This window comes from Homo sapiens, chromosome 5, assembly GCF_000001405.40.
Source record: "Homo sapiens chromosome 5, GRCh38.p14 Primary Assembly".
Lineage (NCBI taxonomy): Eukaryota > Metazoa > Chordata > Mammalia > Primates > Hominidae > Homo > Homo sapiens.
In genome coordinates, this window is record NC_000005.10 from 93,984,475 (window position 1) to 94,010,862 (window position 26,388).

The 26,388-nt window shown below is 35.1% G+C and overlaps 1 protein-coding gene across 35 annotated transcripts in view, besides 1 other annotated feature; it reads right to left on the reverse strand.

Annotated features, from left to right (window-relative positions):
- ARB2A (ARB2 cotranscriptional regulator A) overlaps nucleotides 1-26,388 on the reverse strand; it is a 493,975-nt gene that overhangs the window by 366,750 nt on the left and 100,837 nt on the right. The window lies entirely within an intron of this gene.
- Nucleotides 6,217-6,417: a silencer, noted in NCBI's record as "peak5355 fragment used in MPRA reporter construct". NCBI's record gives its function as "represses an SCP1 promoter by STARR-seq MPRAs in K562 erythroleukemia cells {active_cell/tissue: K562}" and the evidence as "EXISTENCE:reporter gene assay evidence [ECO:0000049][PMID:32103011]".

The window sequence follows — 26,388 nt, forward strand, 5'->3', positions numbered from 1 at the left end:
GTTGTTTGTCAAAATCAAGACAACTGAAGTAAATGCCATACTTTGTTGTTTTGTGCCATTGTTTATCCCCTATATAAAATTATCTTAACTTCCCCATTGTCTTCAATTCCCCAAAACTCAAATCAAATACTACCCTCCAAACTGAAGTTTTTACTGACTTTGCCAATGAATTCTGTGCCCTTCTTTTAACATGTGTCATTCCATCATGATTATCTCATATTCTCATTTGTGTACTGAACTATAAGCACCTTATAAATAAGAATTATATCCTACTTCATTGTAGCATAAACCACAATACAGGTGCACAATACATGAATAATGAATGAATGAAAAAAATTTAATTAGTAGTGCCTGCAGACATGTGACACTTTTTATAAAGAACTATATGAAAAACAATATTTTAAAAAGGAAGTTCTGTATTGTAAAATTCACAATTTAAAAATGAAAACAATATAACATGATATACATTGAGAGGTCTCACTTCCTTCATCCCTGTCCTCCTCCATTGTATTCACCCTCATTCTATCTCCTACAGGAAATCTTAATATCCGTTTCTTATACATCCTTTTAATGTTTCTCTGAGCCAATACAGTCATATAAAATTTTTATTTTCTCTTCTTTCTTAAAAAAGGACAGTACACTAAACACTCTGTGTTGCACAGTGTAGTCTTATTATCCCCTCTTTCTTATAGCAGACTAAATGTGCTGTGTTACTTTATCACCTAAAAATTTACCCTGGTGAACTCCCCTGTCAGTAATAGAGATTGTCTTCATTCTTTTTTACTAGTCATAGCAACATTCCATTGTGTGGATCTATCATGGTTTAATCAATCAATTTTTAAGTTACTTAATGCTTCTCAAAAATATTCACTAAGAAAAACATGCCCTCTCCCTCTCTCTCTCCCTCTCCCTCTTTCCATGGTCTCCCCCTCTCCCTCTTTCCACGGTCTCCCCCTCTCCCTCTTCTCCATCTCCCGCTTTCCACGGTCTCCCTCTATTACCGAGGCTGGACTGTATTGCCGCGATCTCCACTCACTGCAACCTCCCTGCCTGATTCTCCTGCCTCAGCCTGCCGAGTGCCTGGGATTGCAGGCGCGCGCCGCCACGCCTGACTGGATTTTGTATTTTTTGGTGGAGACGGGGTTTCGCCCTGTTGGCCGGGCTGGTCTCCTGCTCCTGACCTCTGGTGATCTGCCCGCCTCGGCCTCCCGAGGTGCCGGGATTGCAGACGGAGTCTCGCTCACTCAGTACTCAATGTTGCCCAGGCTGGAGTGCAGTGGCGTGATCTCGGCTGGCTACAACCTCCACCTCCCAGCCGCCTGCCTTGGCCTCCCAAAGTGCTGAGATTGCAGCCTCTGCCCCGCCGCCACCCCGTCTGGGAAGTGAGGAGCGTCTCTGCCTGGCCGCCCATCATCTGGGATATGAGGAGCCCCTCTGCCCGGCCACCCAGTCTGGGAAGTGAGGAGCGCCTCTTCCCGGCCGTCATCCCATCTAGGAAGTGAGGAGCGTCTCTGCCTGGCCGCCTATCGTCTGGGATGTGGGGAGCGCCTCTGCCTGGCCACCCGTCTGGGATGTGAGGAGCGCCTCTGCCCGGCCGCCCCGTCTGGGAGGTGAGGAGCGTCTCTACCCTGCCGCCACCCCGTCTGGGAGGTGAGGAGCGCCTCTGCCCGGCCGCCACCCAGTCTGGGAAGTGAGGAGCGCCTCTGCCTGGCCGCGACCCCGTCTGGGAACTGAGGAGCCCCTCTGCCCGGCTGCCCGGTCTGAGAAGTGAGGAGCCCCTCCACCCAGCAGCCGCCCCATCTGGGAGGTGGGGGGCGCCCCCGCCCAGCAGCCGCCCCATCTGGGAGGTGGGGGGCGCCCCCGCCCGGCAGCCACCGTGTCTGGTAGGTGAGGGGCGCCCCCGCCCGGCAGCTGCCCCCTCTGGGAGGTGGGGGGCGCCTCTGCCCGGCTGCCCCATCTGGGGGGTGGGGGGGCCCCTCTGCCCGGCCGCCACGTCTGGGAAGTGAGGAGCCCCTCTGCCCGGCTGCCACCCCGTTTGGGAGGTGTACCCAACAGCTCATTGAGAACGGGCCATGATGACGATGGCGGTTCTGTCTAATGGAAAAGGGGGAAGTGTGGGGAGAGGAGAGATCAGAGTGTTACTGTGTCTATGTAGAAAGAAGTAGACATAGGAGACTCCATTTTGTTCTGTACTAAGAAAAACTCTTCTGCCTTGGGATGCTGTTAATCTATAACCTTACCCCCAACCCGGTGCTCTCGGAAACATGTGCTGTGTCAACTCAGGGTTAAATGGATTAAGGGCGGTGCAAGATGTGCTTTGTTAAACAGATGCTTGAAGGCAGCATGCTAGTTAAGAGTCATCACCACTCCCTAATCTCAAGTACCCAGGGACACAAACACTGCAGAAGGCCGCAGGGTCCTCTGCCTAGGAAAACCAGAGACCTTTGTTCACATGTTTATCTGCTGACCTTCTCTCCACTATTGTCCTATGACCCTGCCAAATCCCCCTCTCCGAGAAACACCCAAGAATGATCAATAAATACTAAAAAAATTTAAAAAAAAAGAAAAACTTAACATTAAGTATTGTTTATTGAATCCTATTAAAATTAAATATACACAAAATTATCATCTTGGGACTTAGAATCATTTAAAATAAAGATCGACCCTGTAAGTTAACCTAACTTCTTAGAAAAGGTCATCTTTCCCTCTTAATGTCCTATTTATCCAAACTCTACTTCCATCCTAGCCGCCTCCTAGAAGGAGTAGGGTGGGAGAGGGGGAAGGAATAATAAAAGAAGGAAGAGTCAGAGGAAAGAAGAAAGAAAGAAACATAAAAGTTCTTAATAATTAAAGTTTAATATTATTCAATAATATCAGTTTGGCTAAACCTAAAAGGGCTACTCCAACATCTTTACATTAAAGAGACTATGATATGAATGAATGGCAATGAGTGGTCTAATTAGAACCAAAGGACATTTACCCTGGATTCATATCCTCTTAAGTCAGAACTACATCTTAAATTTCACTAAAATTATCTCCATCTCAACTCCATTTTTCCCCTTTAAACCTCTTATACTTCATTCTTGTGGGGTACATTCTAAAAGGTTTTTAAAAATCTTTTGAAGTGACTACTTGCTCGGCATATCTTTGAGAAAATATTCATTCTTCCAACTTTCCATTAGCATCCCCTAAGGTGTTACTCTATATCCCCAGCTGTCCTCCATTTAGAGCTGCTTCAGATCAGTTGTTCTCATATTTTCCTTTTATCTGCTCTAAAGAAGAGTCCTTATTGTATCCCACCCTTTCTTCCCAATAACCAGATTCTTAAATAACTCACTAGAGAATCAGACTTGTATGTATTCAACTAACTATTGGTATCTCCTCCTAGTGATTTTTCAGGCACCTTAAATATTCAAACATTTATTGAAGAGCCTCAGTATGTTCAAACTAAATCCATCTGTATACGTTCTAAGCTGTTCCTCCTCCATTCTGTTAATCAGCTCCACAAATGGCACTACCAGCCATCTAACTGCTCAGTCTATAAGCCTAAGTGTTTAACACCTCCTCCTTCATCCTCCCCTTACATTCATTCATCAAGTCCCTCAAGCTCATATTGGAAATATCTCCATATCTCCTCATCTCTACTATCGCCATTCTAGTCATATCAACAGGTCATTATCTCTTCCTTGCTTCTGTAATCTCCTAACAAATCTTACTGTATCTAACAGTGTCCTTCAGACCCAATCTCCTCTTAGCAGATGTATTACTCCTTTTAAAAATGCAAATGTAGTAGCTTCCCAGTGCCCCTAGAATAATGATCCAAATCCTTAAATCCTACAAGTCCCTCATCTGGTCCCTATCTATTTCTCATATTTAATCCTATACCATTCTCATTCTCGTTTTGTAGCCACACTGGCTTTCTTTTATATTCTCAGAAGTGGCAGGATCTTTTCACCCAGAACCTTGGCAAATGATGTTGCTTTGCTTTGAATGCTCCTCCCATTCTTTGCTTACGTTAACATCTCCCTTGCCTGGCCCCCAATCTATCCTCAAGACATAGCTAAGAAACTTGCACTTCCTTCCTAACACTTAAATAATTAATAATGCCTTTTCCAAGCTCTGTTTTTGACACCAGACTTTAAATTTTCAAAGAGTAGCAACTATATACTTGTCTTGGGCTGAATGTCTAAAGCCAATTCATGTAATGGCAATAAAATATTTTCTGAGTAAATAGTAATAATAGTAGCAAACATTTGCAAAGCAGTCATACTGACATAAGGTCCTTTAATAACTCTCCATTCACAACAAATCTTCACAACAACCCCATAAAGTAAAGGTCCTTCCAGGAACCCTTGGCAGTCAAAGGGTTATATAACCCACCCATGGTCACACATCTAAATAAGTCATGAAGTCTGGATTCAAACCTAGGCAATCTACCTGCCCTGGAGTCTAGAGTCTATTTTCTAAACGTGTATATTACTTTTCCTATGTTACAAAGTCTTTCAATAAATAAAGATGCTGAGGGAGAGGGAGAGTGAGATGCAAAACTGGAAATTAAAGGGCTATTAGTAACATATACTAGCAGACAAACTAACTACAAAAGATGGTCAAAGTATAAGACAAGAAATTTTAACCAGACACTCTTAATTTGTGTGGCATAATCCTCTTGGCTGACTGATGAAGTCGATGGACTCTTCTCAGAATAATGTTTTTAAAACAAAAATAAGATATAAGACTATAAAATAAACCAATTATATTGGAATAAAGTTGTGCAAAATACTTTAAATACCAAATTTATGATATAATGTACATTCTTCCTTATTAATTCATTTTAAATATAACTATAACTACTATATATGAGAACATATGTGATTTCTATCTGTGACAAAGTCACAAGGCTGTTAATATTACTATTTTTATGCCTCCATTTATAATTAAAAGAAATTTAGGTTAGAGGTTAGTAAAATCAAAGATGTGATTTCTATTCCACAGAAGCCATCTAGATTAACAGACCACAACCTTTAAATCCTATCATCCCAATCCCCTGTTTAAGAGCCCCTGGCCTAAACAGCACCACTTATATACTACGGATCCTTTCCACAATATTCTTTGCCCTGTGGACCAAAAGGAAAAAACGGTCTGATCCACATCGTCTCTGTGATGCACACTATTAAGAGCACTGCTCTAGATTCATTTCCTGACTACATAAATGTATATGATTTTAACTTTAATACTGGGTATATTCAGATGATTTGATGTAAAACAACAGAGCCCATTTTTTTCTGTTTCTGTTAATAATACCAACATCCATGTTTCAAAACCAAGAAAAATGAAGAGTCCATGGTTCCTGAACTCAGGCACTCAGTATAACATCATCATTATGTTAGGCCTCTGGGTAAGGAATTCCACTAGCTTTTATCTTTTCTTGTTTCCTTCTCACTCTGTTAAAGCAAACATTTATAACAAACAATCTCAAAGGCAAATAGTCATGTTTGAATGACTTTGTGCTGATTTTTATTAGAATAATCAAGGAAACACATTAAAGTTCACACATCTAAGGTAGACCAATAGATGAAAATAAAAAGGTTAGTAATACATATCAGTAACCCAGAAAAAAAAGTTATAAATCAGACATTGTACATGTAAACAATAAATTTCCTATAAATTATTTATCTTACCTTAAAAAAAGTACTCATTAAAAATAGGGATTGGGGGAAAAATCAGGTAGACTGAGAAAATTTTATCATGTCTCAGAGTAGCCTTTGCTATGCCATCTGAAAGCTTAAAGTAATTTGTGAGAGAGATAATATCAGCAACTACATTATAGATTAACACTATGCCTCTTTATATTTTTTCAAAAGAAGATAATTATTCTCTACAATGATAGCAGAAGTAAAATGATACTATTTTCACCACTTTCCTTTTACCTTTACACATGGAGAGTTTTAACAATTTAACAAGAAAAGTCTTTGTTGAGCTAGAAAGAGACTATTCTATTGAACATAATGATGTAGGTTCTACTGGGAACTACTATTGTAAGAAAGATAGGCTATCTTAAGTAAAAAGATACTCTTTCACAACCACTGCCATTGAAGGAGGAGAGGTTGGGAACAGTTTTCTCCAATCTTCCTGTTTCTACCATGAGTAAAAAAAAAAAAAAAAAAAAAAAAAAATTGCACAATAAATTCAGTTAGATTTCAACTCAGAGTCATAATAGAGTTACTAGTATTTGGACATCTGGACATGCCTTCTCATTATAAACAACTAGACAACTGTATAAAATGTATTAAACTGTTTCAGATAGGGGAAAACAAGCAGTATAGATCTATGATCCTTGAGAGAAGGAAAACAAAGGAGATAAGCCCCATAAACATGCTGGCTTTCTGCCTGAAGGCAGTATCTGGGCTGTGACACAAGGAAGAGGAGCTCAAAGAGAATACTGTGACCTTGCTACATTGAGAAGAGTCAGAGTTCAGGGAAACTGTATGGCACGATTCGATTGAAAAGGGATTTATGCAGAAAAATAACTCTAGAAAGTCTCCCTAAGAGTTCCTTTAAGTCTTTGGCTGAATACTAAGTTGTATATGCATAAGGTGAAACTGCAGGAGACTAGACAAAGAGAACTACTGGAGAAAACTTACTGGAAAGCTCAAAGCTTAACAATTCCCAGAGCTCATATAGGGAATAGGAGTCAGTTGAGTTGCAACTACCCAGTCTGCAAAGGCCTCATGGAATACTCATATTCAGTAGTGACCTGAAAAAGGTCACAACTCATAAGAGAGCTAAACTATCCCTAGAATGATCAGGCTGCTTATAAGAAACTTACCTGCTGCCAAAATAAAGTTCAACATTTGTTAAAAGGGAGACAACAATATCCAGACACTCATCAACATAATATTTACAATGACCACCATCCAATACAAATTACTAGAGAAATTCACAGAAACAGGAAAACGTGATTCATAACCAGAAAAATATCAGTCAATAAAAACAAACCAGAAGTGATAGAGATTATGAAATTAGGAGACAAGAATATTAAGCCACCTATTACAAAAGTGTTCAATCACATAGAGGAAAATAAAAGCATAATGAGAAAAGAAATAGATTTAAAAAAATAAAAAATGGAACTGCCAAGAACTGAAAAAAAAATACATTTGAGATAAGCAATATAATGGATAGATTTAACTGCAGATTACATGCTACAGAAGAATAGATAAGCAAATGTGAAAATATAGCAATAAAGCTCCCTCAAATAAAAGATTGGCAAGACTGAAAAAATGAACACTGCTTCAGTAACCAGTGGGACAATGACAATAAGTTTAACACAAATGTAATTAGAATATAGGAATTGTGGATGGGAGAAAAGATAAAATATTTGAAGATATAAGGGTAGATCATTTTCCAGATTTGATAAAAACTGTAAGGCCACAGATCCAAGAAGCTCAACAAGCAGAATAACCAGGAAGAAAATAACTCTAAGGCACATTCATAATCAAATTACTGAAAACCAGTGATAAAGAAAAAAAATCTTAAAAGCTGCCAGAGAAAAACAACACATTACATAGAGGGTAACAAAGATAAGACATACAACTCCTCAACAGAAATAATACAAGCCAGAAGAAAATGGACCAACACTTTAAAAGTCATCCAAGAAAAAATAATAATCCCATCACCTGGAACTCTACATACATTCAAATTATCCTTCAAAAATGAAGCAAGATAAAGACCATTCCAGATAAACAAAGGCCAAGAAAATTAATTGCCAGCAGACTGGTATGACAAATATTACAGTAAGTTCTTTAAGCTAAAGAAAATGATTCCAGATGGAAACCCAGATATAGAGAGAAGTAGAAATACAATGTTATAAGGCTCTCACATTATATGTGAAGTGGCATCATTTTCTATGAAGATAAACTGTGGTAAGTTAAGGATACATATTGTAAGCCCCCTAGCAACCATCAGTAAAATAAAACAAAGAAGTATAGCTCATAAGCCAAAACAGGATGTTAAGTGGATTACAACCAAATATACTATATATTCAATTAGATTTATCACTTTTAGCTAAAATCTTTCTTATGAGTAACATGATGAACTTCTACAGAAGGATGTAATATACACCAGCGCTTTGCCTATTTCTTTTCACTCAAACATTAATTATACAGTTTTGCCATGTACAAAAACTAAAGCACCTCAGAATACTGACATTCCAAAAATTCAGTAATTACCATTCTGCCAAAAAAAGCAATAGATTCTTACTTAGATAAAATATAAAATTTTTGACAAATCTAAATGATAGTTTTCAGCAGTCAGATTGGACTATATCAAAAGAATGGTAATTCTAAAATTTAAATTAAGATTAAGAGGTATAAATCTTTTCTCAAAGTGTGAGTTAAAAACAAAACATAAACTATTAATTACTAATACAATTCAAGACATTTCAAAAATAGATTTTGTTCCAGAAAAGACCTAACAGGAAAAAAATGGTCTTTATTTCTAAAATCTATACAAGAAACAAAAACACCTTTCCAGGGATCTGCACACGATTTTAGAAAGTAAACTCTGAAGGCTTATGAATTAATGAACACATGCGAAGGAGATTACTTGTCAATAAAATAAAAGACTTCTTAAACTGAATAAAATGTACCTGCCATTTTATATCATAGTATTTTGGCTCAATGAAGGCAAACAAACAAAAAATTTACCTTAAATATATAATATGTAACTTCAGTGATCTCTGAAAGCTATTTTATTATATAAAATATTTTGCTTTGGAGAGCTTCACCAGCTGGTACCATTTGCCCAGAGAGACAGCTGTTTTTTTAGTTTCCCTATCTCAGCATGTTTCCAACTGTCAGTTCTAACTATATGCAATCCCATAGTGACAGAAGACTTTAAGAGAAATGGCTCATTAACTTGAATCTACGAAGTCCACTCTCTTCAGTGAATTCAAATTAAACCCACAGACAGGCTAGCTCATAACAGAATTCCCCACACATTTTTGTTGTTATTCTTTTGCACTGTAGACTCAAAGTAAAATATTCACGTCATCCACTATAAAATCTTTTGCTCAACCCTATAAATGCACTGACATAAAAGATGGTGGGAGAGGTGTATCTCCAAAGATTATGAATTATAGAGCTATTTTTATAAAAAAAGAACTTCCAAAAAAGTAATTTCCTTTGCAATGTAAATAAATGGCTTACAACTTTACAGAAATTAGATAATAAAGCTCAAATTTAAAATGTACAATGGGCTGTTAGAAAATTTCCAGTAAGAACTCTAAGAAGAGACTGACCATGCAGACCTGTAATAATCACAAGAGACAATATATATTAAATACTATATATATTTATATTTATGTTTAAATAAATATTATTTAAAAGATTCAAAAATAGAAAATCAGTTTTTAAGTGTAAGGTATTTTTTCTTGTAAATAAATCATCTTTTAAAATTATTTGGAAAGAATTATAACAAAATAAGCATGGGCCACCTGAGGCAGGCACATATTGCATATCTCTATATCAAGGGCATATCACTGAATGATAACCACAGTGATTTGATCAACAAGAACTGCTGTATACTGTTGACGGGAATGAAAAATTGGTGTGGCCAATATGAAAAACAGTAAAGAGGTTCCTCAAAAAAATTAAAAACAGAATTACTAAGTGATCCAGCAATCCCTTTTCTGGGTATATATCCAAAAGAACTGAAACCAGAATCTCAAAGAGACATCTGCACTCCCATGCTCATTCCAGCATTATGCACAATAGCCAAGATATGTAAATAACCTAAATGTCCATCGATGGCTGAATAAAGAAAGAAAATATGGTTCACACACACAATGAAATAGTTTTCAACCTTAAAAAGAAGGAAATCCTGCCATATTTGAAGACATATATGAACCTGGAGGATATTATGCTAAGTGTAACAGGCCAGTCACAGAATGACAAATACTGTATGATTTCACTTACATGAGGCATCTAAAATAGTCAAACTCACAGAAACAGAGTAGAATGGTGGCTGCCAGGAGCTGTGGGAAAGAAGAAATGGAAAGCTGGTGTTCAACGGGTACATATAGTTGACCCTTGAACAACACAATTTTAAACTGTATAGGTTCACTTATACACAGATTTTTTTCAATAAATACACTGGTAAATATTTGGAGACATGACAATTTGAAAAAACTTATAGACAAACCACATAGCCTAAGACATATAAAAAAAAATTAAGAAGCCTGGGCAACATGGCAAAACCCCTGTCTCTATAAAAAAATAGAAAAAAATTAGCCAGGTGTGGTGGCCCATGCCTGTAGTCCCAGCTACTCAAGAGGCTGAGGCAGGAGAACTGCTTGAACCTGAGAGGCAGAGGTTGCAGTGAGCCGAGATTGCACCATGGCACTCCAGCCTGGGTGAAAGAGCAAGACCCTGTCTCTAAATAAATAAATAAATAAATAAATAAGAAAAAGGTATATATAAATGTATAAAATATATGTAGATACTAGTCTATTTTTATCATTTACTACCATAAAATATACAAAAAAAATCTATTATAGAAAGTTAAAATTATCAAAACTTACCACACAAATACAGAATGTACATGGCACCAAAGTTGAGAGAAATGTAAACAAATGTAAAAGTACAGTATTAAATCATAACTGCATAAAACTCACTGTAGTACATACTGCAGTACTGTAATAAATTTGTAGCCACTTCCTGTTGGTATTGCAGTAAGCTCACGTGTTGTGAGTACCCACTTAAAATGTCATATGATGCTAACCATCTCCATGTGTGAGCAGATCATCTCTACAGTAAACTTCGTATCACAGTAAACAGTGATCTCTCAAGGTTCTTGCATATTTTTCATCATGTTCAGTGCAATACTGTAAACCTTGAATAATACCATGGGACCCGTACAAAGTGCAATTAGTGATGCTGAAAGTGTTCCCAAGAAGCAGAGAAGTCATAACATTACAAGAAAAAGTTTAATTGCTAAATATGTTACTATAGTTTCATGTCTGCAGCTGTGGTTGACTGCCATCTGAGAAAGGTGATTCATCTTGTAAAGAAATAATAAATGACTGTTTATTTTATTGGTAAGGCTCCCAATCAAGAGAAGGCTAATAGCTAAGTTTTAGGGGCATCAAGTTATAGGCAGATTTTCAACTATGTGAGGAGTCAGCACCCTAACTCCTGTGTTGTTCAAGGGTCAACTGCAGTTTGTTATACAAGATGAGCAAGTTCTACACAACTGCCATACAACATTGTGCCTATCGTTAACAATACTGTATTGTGCACTTAAAAGTTTGACAAGAGGGTAAATCTCACGTTACGTGTTCTTACCACAATAATATACATACATACATGAAATTTCATAGCCCTGTCCCAAATCATCACAAACAAAACAAAACTTGCGGAAACTAAAAGAAACTTCTGGAGAAATACAGTATTGGGTATGTAGTTATCTGGAGAGGAAGTCACAAAATATGGCCCTTCTTCATTTTCTTCCAAATACTTTCCCCTAAATATTATAGAAGCATAGAACTTGAAGGTGATCAAATGTATGGAGACTAAGTCTCTTCTCTGTTGACTATAGGAACATTTTTTTTTTGCCAAAATTGCCAACCACATCACTTCTGAAATTATTCAGAAACTATCACTAATTAGGAAAGATGTGAAAGTTTTGGTATAATATATATTATCTATATGCCCATATCTATGTATGTCTACCTAAATATATACATACACACATACATACACATGCACAAGTATACATCCATATATACACTAAGGCATTAAACAGGTTTCTGTCCTTACAAAAAATAAATAACTGTTTCTCCATAGATAATTAGGTTTTGAAAATCATATAAATACGGACAAATAATTTTGTAAAATTATTAGAAAAATGAACAGGGGGCTTTTTGAACTTATGGGCAGTGCATTGTTTACTGACCTCAGGGTTGTGTGAGAATGCAGACAACCAGAGTGTTAAACTGATTTGTGAGATTATTCAGTGCACTTAGCATCCCAAATAAACTATTATTGGTTCACAAATCCAAGTCAGATTTCTTGCATTGGCCCCTATAATATGTCAAACAAAGATCATCCTGCATTCAGGGCAACTACTTAAATTATTCTATAATCATTATCTCCAATGTTACATACTACCTTAAGTCTCCAAAAATAAACTGCTTCCCTAAAATTAGATGTTCTCATTTCAATAATATTTTTATTCAAACAACTGGTGCCTTGAAAATGTTCCTCATTTACCAAAACATAAATTTGTTGTTATATTCTAGGAAATAATTATGACCTCTGAGATAATAATGTCTTGTTTAAAAGCAAGACAATTACAATTCTTAATCTTCTACTGTAAGTCTTCTACTCTGATTACAGCAATGAATATGCCATTGCTTAATGTGAAGTGTAATTCTTGTTCTCTGCCAGGTAGTTGGCTCAATCAACAAATATTTATTGAGAAGTACGTATGTGCTAGCCATTGATCGAGGAATTAGGAATATAGAATAGAAAAGACAGGTGTCTGCTCTCAGGAGACAGGTAATTAAAAGTAAACAAATAAATTTAATAGTTGTTTACCTCAGAGACTACATTAATTCCTGACTAAAACTTTCACCTCTAGTTTCTGTATGCCAAGTGAATTTGCCAGCTGCTTTTATTTCCAGTTATCAATATGCTATGATTTTCATTAATATTTCCATCAAATCACCATCACTAAACATAAGTTGTTTGAGCACCTTGTCAGCCTCCAAAGAATATCTAGCTAAGCTAAACCAGGTTTTAGTAAACAAATATTTTATCTGTACACTGGCTATGTCCAGTCTATGTCAGTAGATTATAACGTTAGCATAGCACTAAGACAATTGTTCTAAGAACTGGATGAAAAGCGTTCAGATGAATATTGAATACTTCTTCCAAGAATCTCAGTATACCCTCAACTAGTTATTCTGTATTCAATAAGATATTTCAGGATCCTAAGCAAAGATAGAAGGTATACACGATCTTTGCGAATAATGTAGTCTACATACTTCTTAGCAATCGAAACCCACACTTAATGTTAGATTTCAAAAACCTAGTGCCTATAAACATTTTCACAAACTGGTCTTCCCTCTTTGAAATGCATCAATTGTAACTCCTGGAAAAAGTTATGGCTGTGTAAGGAGTTCAAATACCTCTGCAATGTATGACTTAATAACTCAAGATTTGATAACCTCATGTATCCTCTGCCTCAGATTACTTCCTCTGTAGAAATAAGCCAAACACAACTTTCTGCACTGTAAACATCTTAAAATCAACTGACAGTCCATGACTTATACTAGTGTTTGTTAAGGCATTCCATTCAACTTTGAATACTGCTATATTGACCCTCACATACTCATTTTGAATAAATTAACTTCCAGAATTCTGTCTAAATTCCTTACCACAAAACAAAGTAATCAGAATCCCACTGTCCTGATCAAACGGTTCACAAATGCACCCAAAAAGATTCCCATAGCATATGTGTGTCTATACACACACACACACACACAGAGAGAGAAATATGTGGATGCATGAGTGTATCCACAAAGGAAAAAAAGGTTCAAGGAACAACTTGTGCACTCTCTCCTGTAAAAATCAGAAAGGAACTGACAAATTCATGAAGAGGAATAAAATAAAGAGCGTAATGAGAAGGCCCATCTGCACATGACATAATAGCCAAACATGATTTTTTAAAATCTTTTCCCTTTAATTTAACAAAATGTTCTTAAAACCTAGAGAGTATTGAGATGGGGATGTGGGGTAGAAGGAGTATCAATTAGCACATACTGTGGAAGTCAAATAGAGTTTATCTCTATTCGTAATAGAATTTATCCTAATTTTCACCTCTATTATTTCCAAAATCCTAATCAATTTTGATAAATGAAGAAGGAAATAAAAAGATGTACAAATTTAGAATATATCCTTCCTTCTTCTGGCTCATGTCAGATATATTTGTAAAATATTTGTATGTAAAAACAAACTACATTTCATGCAAATTATACTTTGCATTAAATATTTACCTGAATAAAGATTATTTTTCCTGGAGCATAGAAAGATGGTAAAGGTTTAGTATAAAAGGACATTGGCTCAGAGCAACATACCAGATGAACATAAAAGGTTAATTTTAATAATCAAATTCATAATTCATCTAATCTAGGAAATGCCAAGAATAGTTTAAAGAGATATTCCATTTAACATGAACTAATGCACCGTCAGTAACAGTGAGGATGACTAAATGATTCTGATATACAATATGCTTGTGTTTAATGACATCAATAGACCTGTAGGAAATTCACAATAGATTATTTGCCCAGTTACTGTAATGCTTATAAAACCATTACTAGGCTACAAATCTCATTCTACTTTTAGAACTGACCATGATCCAAGAAAAGAAAAAGAAATAGCATAAAACATATTATTCTTTTCTTAGACAGGTACATTTCAGTGCAAATACAATTTTAAGAATGTTATGCTTTGTTTCTGGCACAGAAAAACATCTCTAAGCATTATTCATATTATTTCTCTCCCCTAAAGTTAACATACTTTAATGCCATATGGGCACAAATTTACTTCTGTTCATTTAAACTTGTAATTAAACTTTATAACATAGAAAACTGCTAAAGTAAAATAATCTCTTTCCACTGAAAGGCATTTTTTTTTTTTCTAAAATAACATGGGTGATGTGCCAAATGGCTGGGGTGGTAGCTCATTATACCTTCAGAGAGAATCCAAGTTTGAGGCTTATCTTGGGTTCTCACACGTAGCAGCAAAACCTTGGAGTATTATCAAGGGTTACAAAGGGCAGATCAAATAAATGTCTGTATTCAGTGAATCCATTCAGAGAAGCACTAGTTGTTCAGTAATCTAATAAGCAATGCACTAGTAATCTATTGATGAATGCATCTTATTGTAATTTTATTAAATAACAGAACCCATATATCTAAAATATTCAAACCATTTCACAAGAAGCCCTTGTGCTGCCCAGAAAATGTTTCTTTTTTTAAGTTTTTTTAGAGCAGTTTTAGGTTCACAGCAAAATCGAGAGGAAGGTACAGAGATTTCCCATGTACACCCTGACCCCACACATGAACAGCCTCCCTCATTATCAACAGCCTCCTCCAGAGTGATACATTGACTGCAATTGATGATAAGCCTACATTGAGACATCATAATCACCCAAAGCCCATAGTTACCTTAGGGTTCAATCTTGGTGCTGTACTTTCTATGAGTTTGGACAAATATATAATGACATGTATCCATGATTACAGTACCATACATAGTATTTTTACTCCTTAAAAATCCTCTGTGTTCTGCCTATTCATCCCTCTTTGCCTCCAACCCCTGATTTTACTCTCACTACAGCTTTGCCTTTTCCAAAATACCATATATTTGGAACCATACAGTAGGTAGCCTGTTCAATTTGGCTTTTTCCACTTAGAAATATATGGTTAAGATTCCTCCATGTCTTTTCATGGCTTAGCTTGACAGCTCATTTCTTTTTAGCACTGAATAATATTCCATTGTCTGGATGGACTACAATTTATTTATCCATTCGCCTATTGAAGACCATCTTGGATGCTTCCAAGTTTTGGCAATTATGAATAAATCTACTATAAACATCCATGTGCAGGTTTTCATGTGGACGTAAGTTTCAACTTCTTTGGTTAAATACCAAAAAGTGCGATTGCTAGATTGTATGGTGAGAGTATGTTTACTTTTGTAAGAGCCAAACTATCTTCCAATGTGGCTGAAACATTTTGCATTCTTACCAGCAATAAATGAGAGTTCCTATTGCTCCACATCCTGGCCAGCATTTGGTGTTGTCAGTGTTTTGGATTTTGGCCATTCTAATAGATATGTAGTGGTATCTCATTGTTGTTTTAATTTGCATTTCCCTGATGACATATGATATGGAACATCTTTTCATATGTTTATTTTCCATCTGCATAGCTTCTTTAGTGAGGTGTCTGTTGACATCTTTGGCTCATTTATAAAATGGATTGTTATTGTTGAGTAGTTTTAAGAGATCTTTGTTATTTTCAATAACAGTTCTTTATCAGATGTATCTATTGCAATTTTTTTCTCTCAGTTTGTGACTTGTATTCTCATTCTCTTAACATTGTTTTTTGTAAAAGTTTCAAATTTTAATAAGGTCCAGCTTGTTTATTCTTTCTTTCACGGACTATACCTTTGGTGTTGCATCTAAAAAGTCATTAACATACCCAAGGTAGTAGAGTTTTCTCCTCTTTATCTTCTAGAAGTTTTGTAGTTTTGCATTTTGCACTTAGGTCTATGATCCATTTTGAGTTAATTTCTGCAAAAGGCATAAGGTCTGTGACTAAATTCGGTTTTTTGCATGTGAACATCCATTTGTTCCAGCAAATTGATTTAAAAGAGTATCCCTGCTCCACTGTATTGCCATTGATCCTCTATCAAAAATCAGTTGACCATTTTTATGTGGGTCTATCTCTGGGCTTTCTATTCTATCCCATTGTTCTATCTGTCTATTACTTAGCCAATACCACATCATCTTCATTACTGTATATTTATAGTAAGTCTTTAAGTTGAGTATTATCAGTCCTCCAACTTGGTTTTTCTTCAATATTGTGTTGGCTATTCTGGGTCTTTTGCCTCCTCATATACACTTTAGAATCAGTTTATTAATATCCACAAAATAACTTGCTGGGATTTTTATTGGAATTGCAATGAACCTATAGATTAAGTTGGGAAGAACTGACATCATGACAATATTTAAGCTTCCTATCCATGAACATGGTATATCTATTTATTTAGTTCTTTAGTTTCTTTCATGAGAGTTTTGTAGTTTTCCTCAAGTAGCTCGTGTACAAATTTGGTTTCTGATAATTTGTGGAAATTTTCAGTCATTATTGCTTCAAATATTTTCAGTATTCCTTTCTCTCTCTTCCGTCTGTTTCATTATGCATATTTACATCATTTGTAGTTGCCCCATGGTCCTTAGAAATGCTGTTCTTTTATTTTTCAGAATTTGTTCTTTTTGCTTTTTAGTTTTGGGGGTTTCAATTGATATATCCACAAGCTCAGAGATTCTTTCCTCAGTCATGTCCAGTCCACTAATACACTGATAAAAGGCATTCATTTTTACACAGTGCTTTTGATTTCTAACTTTTTTTTGTTCTTTCTTAGAATTTCCATCTTTTTGCTTACATTGCCCATCTGTTCTTGCATAATGTCCATTTATCCATTAGAGCCCACAACATATTAATCATGGTTGTTTAAAATTCTCAGTCTGGTAATTCTAACATCCCTGCCACATCTCGGTCTGATGCTTGCTATGTCTCATCAAATTGTTTTTAGTGCCTTTAGTATAACTTGCAACTTTCTGATAACCAAACATGATGTACATGGTAAAAGGAATTGCTATAAATAGGCCTTGAGTAACATGATGGCAAAGTGTGCTGGGAGGGGAATGGTTCTCTGATTAGGTCTCAGTTTTTTACTGTACTTATACCTCTAAACTATGAGCTTCACAGGTGTTTCCCAGTTTTTTCTTCCCCTCTTAGGTGGGAGAGAATGGCTAGGGTGGGCTGGAGTTGAGTATTTCCCTTCTTCTAGATAAAAGGATAGAGTTGATTGAAGTTGACTATTTCCCTTCCCCCAGATTAGTTAGGCTCTGATAATACCCCAACAAGTTAGGCTTGGTTAACTAATTTACCCTGAGGGTAGACCTTCTTAAAAAAAACAGAAAGCTCTGGCATAATTCAAAAATGGCTCCTTTTCTCCTCCCCCTCCTAAACACACAAGGAAGATTTTTCTGATATTTACTATGAGAACCTGGTTGAGCTTTTGGAGGTAAAACACACAAAAGTAGAGGGAGAAGCCATATCTAGGTCCCTCTGGAGTTTTTAACTCTTACACTTGTCTGCACTGAGTCTCTCCTAAAGTCATCGATTATAGTTCAGGTTTTTTTTTTTATGCCAGCACTCGTTCCCTTGGTGATGTCTGCGCATTATTTTCTGCTCCAGTAAGTTTGATTCTTTGTATTCACCTGTTGCACCCTCCAACTTTGGGGTTAGCAATTTGCCCTGTGACCTCACTTCTCTTACGAATCTAAAAAGCCTTGTTGCTTTAAAAGTTTCTTCTGCTTTTTATTTATTTTTAGGACAGAATAGTAACTTCCAAACTTCTCAAATGCTAGACTAGAAGTCTCTTTCTTTTTTTTTAAAAAAAAAGTCAACTCTTTTAAAATAATAATATATCATTTTGTAACTAAAAGAAATAACTTACAAGATCCTGATTTATAAGAAATCACAAAACTAACATATTTTCAAAGAAGCAAGCAGCAGGATCGAGTCCAGCATCTCAGACATCCTAAACATACACTCATAAAGCGGGTAGATAAGAAGATAAGGCATCCCCAATTATAGTAGGAAGGACAAAGAAAGATTTCTAAGGATTCAGGCAGCAATATGGAAAAAAACAGGAGACATAAAGCAACATTCTCCTTAGTATCTTTACAATCAATAGTGCTAAATTTTTACTCCATATTTGGAGAGTTTGTATAATATTATTACAGCATCTAAATTGTTCAAAATTAATAACCATATGCAAATTCCAGCTACTGGCACCATGACAAGCCAAAATATAAACAACTTCAAAAGCAGAAAATAAATACTTCCTTTTTGAAACCAAAATACAGTCACGTATTCAATTACATTAGTCAATTTGATAGAGTATCAACAAAAAACCTATAGCTAACATTATATTTAATGGCAAAAGACTAAATGTTTTATTCTTAAAATTGGAAACAAAAAAGATTTGTACTTTTACCACACTTATTCAACATAGTGGTAGAAGTTCTAGCCAGTAAAATAAGATAACAAAAGGAAATCAAAAACATACAAATCAGAAACATAGAATTAAAACTGTACTTATTTGCAGATGATCAGGTTGTGTACATAGGATATCCCAAAGAATCTACCAAGGAAAAAAATAAAATCCTGAAACAAATTGAGTACAGCAAGAAATGTAGGATACAAGATAAACTTATTATAAGAAACATCAATTCTATTTCCATATACTAGCAATAAAACACACTGAATTTTAAAATATAATATTTACAATCAATTAAAAAATGAAATACTTAGACACAAAATTAATGAAATGTATAAAGACTTGTATAACAAGAACTACAAAATCCTGGTGAAAAAAAATAAAAGACATAAAGAAATGTAAAGACATACCGTGTTCATGGATACAAAGCTCTAACAAAATAAACATGTCAATTCTCTGTAAATGGGTAAGTTAATGAAGCTCCTATTGAAATCTCAGCAAGATTTTTGGTAGATATAGATGATTATTTTAAAAATTTATATGGAAAGAAAAAGGAACTAGAATAAAGCAATTATGAAAAAGTAAAACAAAGTGAGAGAAATTAGTCAATCCAATTTCAAGACTTGTAACTACAGCAATCAAAACTATGTGGTACTGGTAGAATGACAGACATATAGATCAATAGAATATAATTAAAAATTCAGAAGCAGACACACATACATATGCCCAACTAATTTCTGACAAAGCTATAAGAGCAATTCAATGAAGGAAAGATGGCCTTTTCAATTCACAGTGCTGGAGCAACTGGACAGCCATAAACAAAAAAAATGAACCTCAGCCTAAGTCTCTCACCATATGCAAAAATTAACTCAAAACAAATTTAAATGTGAAGTAAACTATAAAACTTCTAGAAAAATGTAAAAGAAAATCTTTAGGATCTAGGAGTAGGCAGGTTTCACCAAAATCATGATCCATTAAAAACAACTGATACATTAGACTGCATTAGAATTAAAAACTTTTGGGAGGCTGAGGCAGGCGGATCACAAGGTCAGGAGATCAAGACCATCTTGGCTAACATGGTGAAACCCCATCTCTACTAAAAAATACACAAAATTAGCCAGGCATTGTGGCAGGCGCCTGAAGTCCCAGCTACTCGGGAGGCTGAGGCAGGAGAATAGCGTGAACCTGGGAGGTAGAGCTTGTAGTGAGCCGAGACTGTGCCACTGCACTCCAGCCTGGGCGACAAAGTGAGACTCCATCTCAAAAAAAAAAAAAAATTTTTTTTTGCTGTGTGAAAAACCTGTTAAGAGGAGAAAAGGACAAGTTATAGGCTGGGAGAATACACAATCAATTCTTATTATTCCTGGTAGTTATGGTCTATCAATTCCCCATGAATACTGAATTAGCAAATACTGAAATATATAGGTTCCTACAAGCCTCTAGTAACATTTTCATCAGCAAATCAATATATTACTTGTTTTATTTGTGTTTCTATTTAAAGTTACCTTATTTAATATATATTATTGATTCTTACACATTGAACTCAGCCAAAACAAAGCTTATCTAATAAACATATTTTCTTCTTGCCCTGGAAACAAGGCAAGGTCTATCACCACCTTCTTGTACTTAGGAATACTACCCAGCACCTCAACACTACACTTAGGAGCCATTTTATCAGCAAAAAAAAAAAAAAAAAAAAAAAAAAAAGAGAGAGGACACAAAAATGCAAAACAAAAAAAAAAAAGTGGCACAAAACAATCTGCAAAAGAGACATGTTCACAGTATGAAAAATTGAAAAAAATAGGCAGAGTATCATCTTGTTTGACCTCAATTGGGAAGGTACAATTTGGAAGACTCAAATTTTTTGCCACTCCGTGTTTTTTTTGTTGTTGTTGTTGTTTTTGAAGACAGTCTCCCTCCATCGCCCAGGCTGGAGTGCAGTGGCATGATCTCAGCTTACTGCAACCTTTGCCTTTTGGGTTCAAGCAATTCTCTTGCCTCAGCCTCCTGAGTAGCTGGGACTACAGGCACCTGCCACCAGGCCCAACTAATTTTCTTTTTGTATTTTAGTAGAGATAGGGTTTCACCATATTGCCCAGGGTGGTCTTGAACTCCTGAACTCAGGCAATCCAGCCACCTCGGCCTCCCAAAGTGCTGGGATTACAGGTGTGCACCACCACACCTGGCCCACTCTGTGCATATCTACAAATGACTGCAAAAGCACTACAAGTATTGATTTTTGGCATTTCAAATAAATTTTAGCAAGCACGCAAATTTGCAAAATAATGAGCATCCACTGTATTTGCAAACCACCTATCTGAAAAAGAACTAGTATCTATAATACATAAAGAACTCTTAAATTTAACAGTAAAAACCCAAACAATTCCATTAGAAAACAGCCAAAAGACATTGAGAGAGCTCACTGAATAGGATACACAGGTGTTGAGTAAGCACATGAAAAGATGTCTCCATCATTAGCCATTAGTGAAATTCAAATTCAAACCATAATGAAATATCACTACACATTCGTCAAAATGACTGAAAAAAACATAGTGACAACATCAAATGATGCTGAGGATGTAGCCAAGCTGGATAACCCATACACTGCTGGTGGGAATGTAAAATGGTACAGACACTCTGGAAAACACTTTGGCAGTTTCTTAAAAAACTAAAACATGCAACTACAATACAACTAGCAATTATACTCCTGAGCATTTATTCCAGATAAATATACTCTTAGCCTGACAAAATAACCTGTACATAAACATTTATAACAGCTTTATTATAATAACCCCAAACTGCAAACAACTCAGATGTCCACCAAGCTGGTGAATGTTAGAACAAACTTTGATACATCCCTATCATCTAATCATGCTCAGCAATATAAAAGAACAAATACTGGAACATGAAACATCCTGGATGAATCTTATGCTGAGTAAAAACAGCCAATCCCAAATGGTTACACACTCACTCCATAACTCCATTTATATAACACTACTAAAATAATAAAATTATAGAATTAGAGAAAAGATAATGGTTGCCAGAGGTTTAGGGGAGGGTTGGGACAGGCAGAAGTGCTGTGGCTATAAAAGGACAATATAAGAGATCCTTGTGATGATGGAGATGTTCTACGTCTTGATTATATCAATTTCAACATTCTGGATATGATGTTGTACTATCAGTTTGCAAGATGCTAGCACTGGGGAAACAGGATAAAGATCCACAAGCAATCTCTACATTATTTCTTACAACTGCACTTGTATGACTATCTCAAATTAGAAAGCTAAATGAAAACAGTGAAATGCAGTCAGATTTTAAACTATATTTATCAGTAAATCATATTTTTTCTTATAGTGGAAATTTCTAAGTCATGGTACTAATATTCTTTATTTTAATTCATACAAATCTAATGTGAGCTAATAGAGGAGTATACATTTTTAAAGGCTACTAGGATACATTACAATGAAATAAAATATGAAATTGCTCATAAAATTAAAAGTTTTAAAGCTTTCGGAGCAACAGCAATAACGAAGTATTTTATCACTGTTTCTTCCTCAACAGAAAATGAAAGTGTTAGCTATTTCAAAATTACAACTAAAATCAAAGATCTTTTGGTTTTGAGTGCTAGTATAGCATTAATTTAGTTCTAAATCTGATGTCACAAATCTGATTCAATTATAGAAACATTTATTGTTCTATTTTCTTGCCACTGATTGCATCTCTAACAAATCATATGACAAATGCATACCCCATAAGACAAAGAGTCAGAAATTATTCCCAAATCTATTTCTCCTTCCAGAAAACGAAATCAAGTAGAAAAGAGTAAAGTGATCTATAGATTTTAGATTGGGACCACTATCTTTATTTGTAACATATCACAAGGAACCATACATGTCATTAAGAAAAAAATTAACCCATCTCTTATTTCTAAATAGTATGACAATAATATATGCTAGCTGGTAAAGATTAAAAGTATAAGAGGGAAAGAAAAGCAATAGTTGCAATAAAAAATTTAACATTTGTGCCACAGAGAAATAATAAACTTACACAATATCTTAGACTGATCCAGTTTAACCAACTCTCAAGAACTGTGAAAGGTCTGAGAATTTACTCTACTAGAAACCTAAGAAGTTAACATACTATTGTTCAAAGATGTTAGCAAAAGACACAAAACTGGGTGCGGTGGCTCACATCTGTAATCCTAGCACTTTGGGAGGCCAAGGCGGGCAGATCACTTGAGGTCAGGAGTTCGAGACCAGCCTTGCCAGCATGGTGAAACCCCATCTCTATTAAAAATACAAAAAAATTAGCTGTGCATGGTGGCACATGCCTATATTCCCAGCTACCTGGGAGGCTGAGGCAAGAGAATGGCTTGAACCTGGGAGGCGGAGGTTGTAGTAAGCTGAGATTGTGCCACTGCACTCCAGCCTGAGTGACAAAGCAAGACTCTGTCTCAAAAAAAAAAAAAAAAAGACACAAGACTCACATGTCTAAAACAAAGGACTTTATTAATAATATCACAGCAAGCAACATGAGCATATCTGTGTCAGTACCCCCCTGCAACTGTGTTGTTCCATGGGAGCAACACAATGGCCTAAATGATACCTGCACATGCAGAGTATTACATTACATTACAGAGAAAATGTAGATATAAGTATTAAATAAGTAAACAAATTATTACAAAATACAGATCTGTACTTTCTTTTTTAAAATAAAATACACAAAGACATTAAATATAAGCCTACATTCACACAACACCAAAGATCCAGTACTTATGTTCACTGTAAGCTAAGTCTGGCCAGAATCTACAAAGAGAGAAGCATTTCTCTACCACCTTTTATTCACTGGGGAGGCTGTAATTGCTATAAAGAACCTAACTTTAGAAGTCTAACACATTAGTTGAAGAAATGGTAGAAGTATATGAGAAACAGGAATAAAAAGGATTAACATGTTTAAGAATGTTATTAAAAAGACAGGCAATATAGCTCCACACAAGCTCACACTTTGCCAAAAGAAGTTCTTTGATGCTTCTCACATGTTAATATGCATATCAATCATCTGGAGATAGTATTAAATGTAGATTCTCATTCAGTAGGTCTGTGGTGAGGCCTGAGAGTGAACATTTCTAATAAGTTGCCAGGTATTGTGCATACTGCTTTGAGTATATACACTTTGAGTAGCAAGTGTTAGAAGACTTTCGATGAGTGTCAAATCAGGCAGACTATGCAAAGTCTGTGATGAATTATATTCTAAATTTGTTCAGCAGATGAGATTTTAAAATTTTCTATCACAGAAAAAAAAGTTACTCATATATACTATCTTCAATTTGTGGCTAATAATAATTAGAAATTTTACTTTCAAGTAACAACTCTAAATAAATCCATACGATTATATGTTCTATATAATATATCTGTATGCTTTTCTTCACACAAAAATATTTGGAGCATATTGGTCCTCAAGACTATCTTAATGTAGTTCTTAATTATCTTCTGGTATATGATCTATGTATAAAGGTAGTACTGATTCCAACTTCAATTAACCAATTTAGCTCACAATGTGCTCTTCCTGCTGCTAGTATTAAGAATAAACCTAAATATATAATTCATTTCTTGGCACTTTTTAAAAGGTCTTTTGATAACATTTTAGCAATATGTAGGTTTCTGTACAAGTTCAAAGAATAAACTCATTTTAACAGGGCTGTGAAAACTTACATTATGAGAATAAACTAATTTGATTTCTGGAAAGAAATGTCAGGATCATGTATTATGTCTCAAAATTAGGTTAGTTTTTATAAATCCTTAATCACAAGAAATATGACTTTCAGAGAATAATGGCAAATGCATCTGCTCACATTCAAACACTTTGGCCTCAAATTATTTACAATAGTAATAAAGGATATTATTCAGAAACAAGCATTTACATACAAAAAAGGTAATATTTACAAGTATAGTCCAGAACAGTCAGTCATTCATTGTAAAAAGAACAGCCCCCACCTGCTTTCTCCAAAGACTGGACCAATATATCAATAATTTACCCTCATCAGCATTATTTCTTTGTGTGAATTTGCTACTCAAAGTTCCCCAGTATAAGAAGTCTGCATAAACAAACACTGAGAACTCATCAAATATAAAAATCTCACCCTGATACCAACCCTCTAAAATAAAAATTAAGGATGAATCTTACCTTACATAGAATTAATATTAAAATTTCCAAATAATACATTATTTTTTCTCATATTAAAACCACAGCCATTTTAAAGGAAGGGCTAAAATTTACAATAACATTAGCATAATTTCTCCAGTGTGATCTTTGCAACTGCTTTTTAGAATTCACCACTAAAGCCATTTGGGCCTAGAGCTTTGAGAAAGAAATCTGAAGCATTTTTAAAATAAATATATAACGTTATTTGGGTTATCTATAGCATTATTTGAGTGAGATTTTGTTGTGTGTGTTTTTCAAGTTGTTTGTCCATTATATCCAAGTTGTTGAATTTATTAGTATAAAGTTATTCATAAAATTCTCTACTATTGTTTGATATCTATGAGATATGTAGTGATACCCTCTCTCGTATCTAAAAATTGTCAATTTGCATCTTTGGTCTTTTTTTTTTTTTTAACCCAATTAGTCTGGCTAGCGGCTTTATCAATTTTACTGATAACACTGAAGAACTGGCTTTTGAAGATTTTATTAATATTTCTTTATTGCATTGCTCTCTTCTATTTAATGGAATTCTGCTGTTACCTTCATCATTTCTTTCTTCAGCTTACTTTGGATTTACTTTGCTCTTCTTTATGTAATTTCTTAAGGTGGAAGGTTAGGTCACCAATCTTAAACCTTTCTACTTTTTTAATAAAAAACTTTAGTGCTACAAATTCTCCTGCAAGCATTGTTTTAGTTGCATACCATAAGTTTTGATATATTGCGTCTTCATTTTCAGTAAATTTTAAGTATTTTCTAATTTTCTTTGCAATTTCCTCTTCGAATGATGGATAATTTAGAATCATTTTGCTTAGCTTTAAACAATAAAATTGGAGACTTTCCAGGTAGCTCTCTAACCGAGAAAGCATATTGTATATAGTCAGAAAACATACATTTTATGACTTTAATCCTTTTGGGGCTTGTATTACGGCCCAGAATATGGTCTCATTGTAAAAGTGGAGAACTTTTCTTTCTGAATCTTCAGCTCAAACTTTTCTTTCCTTAGCTTCAAGCAGTTGATGCTTTCCCAAGATCTTCAGGAAAATAATAATAATTCCTTTTCATCATTTATAGTGTTATCTTGAAGGGATCTCTAAACTGTCAAGTTCTCTGGAGCCTTCTCATTTACAGTCTATATAAATCTAAGAATACATTTTACCTTAACCTCAATCTCACTTTCTTTGAATTGTAAGGTTTTTTCCTGTTATATTATTATACTAAATATAGAACCACCAAAAAGTATAATTATTATTATTTTAATGGTAGGTTTTTCTATTTTACATAAAAACAAAAGGAAAATTAAAACAACTAAAGGCACAAAAGGAAAATTAAAACAACTAAAAAA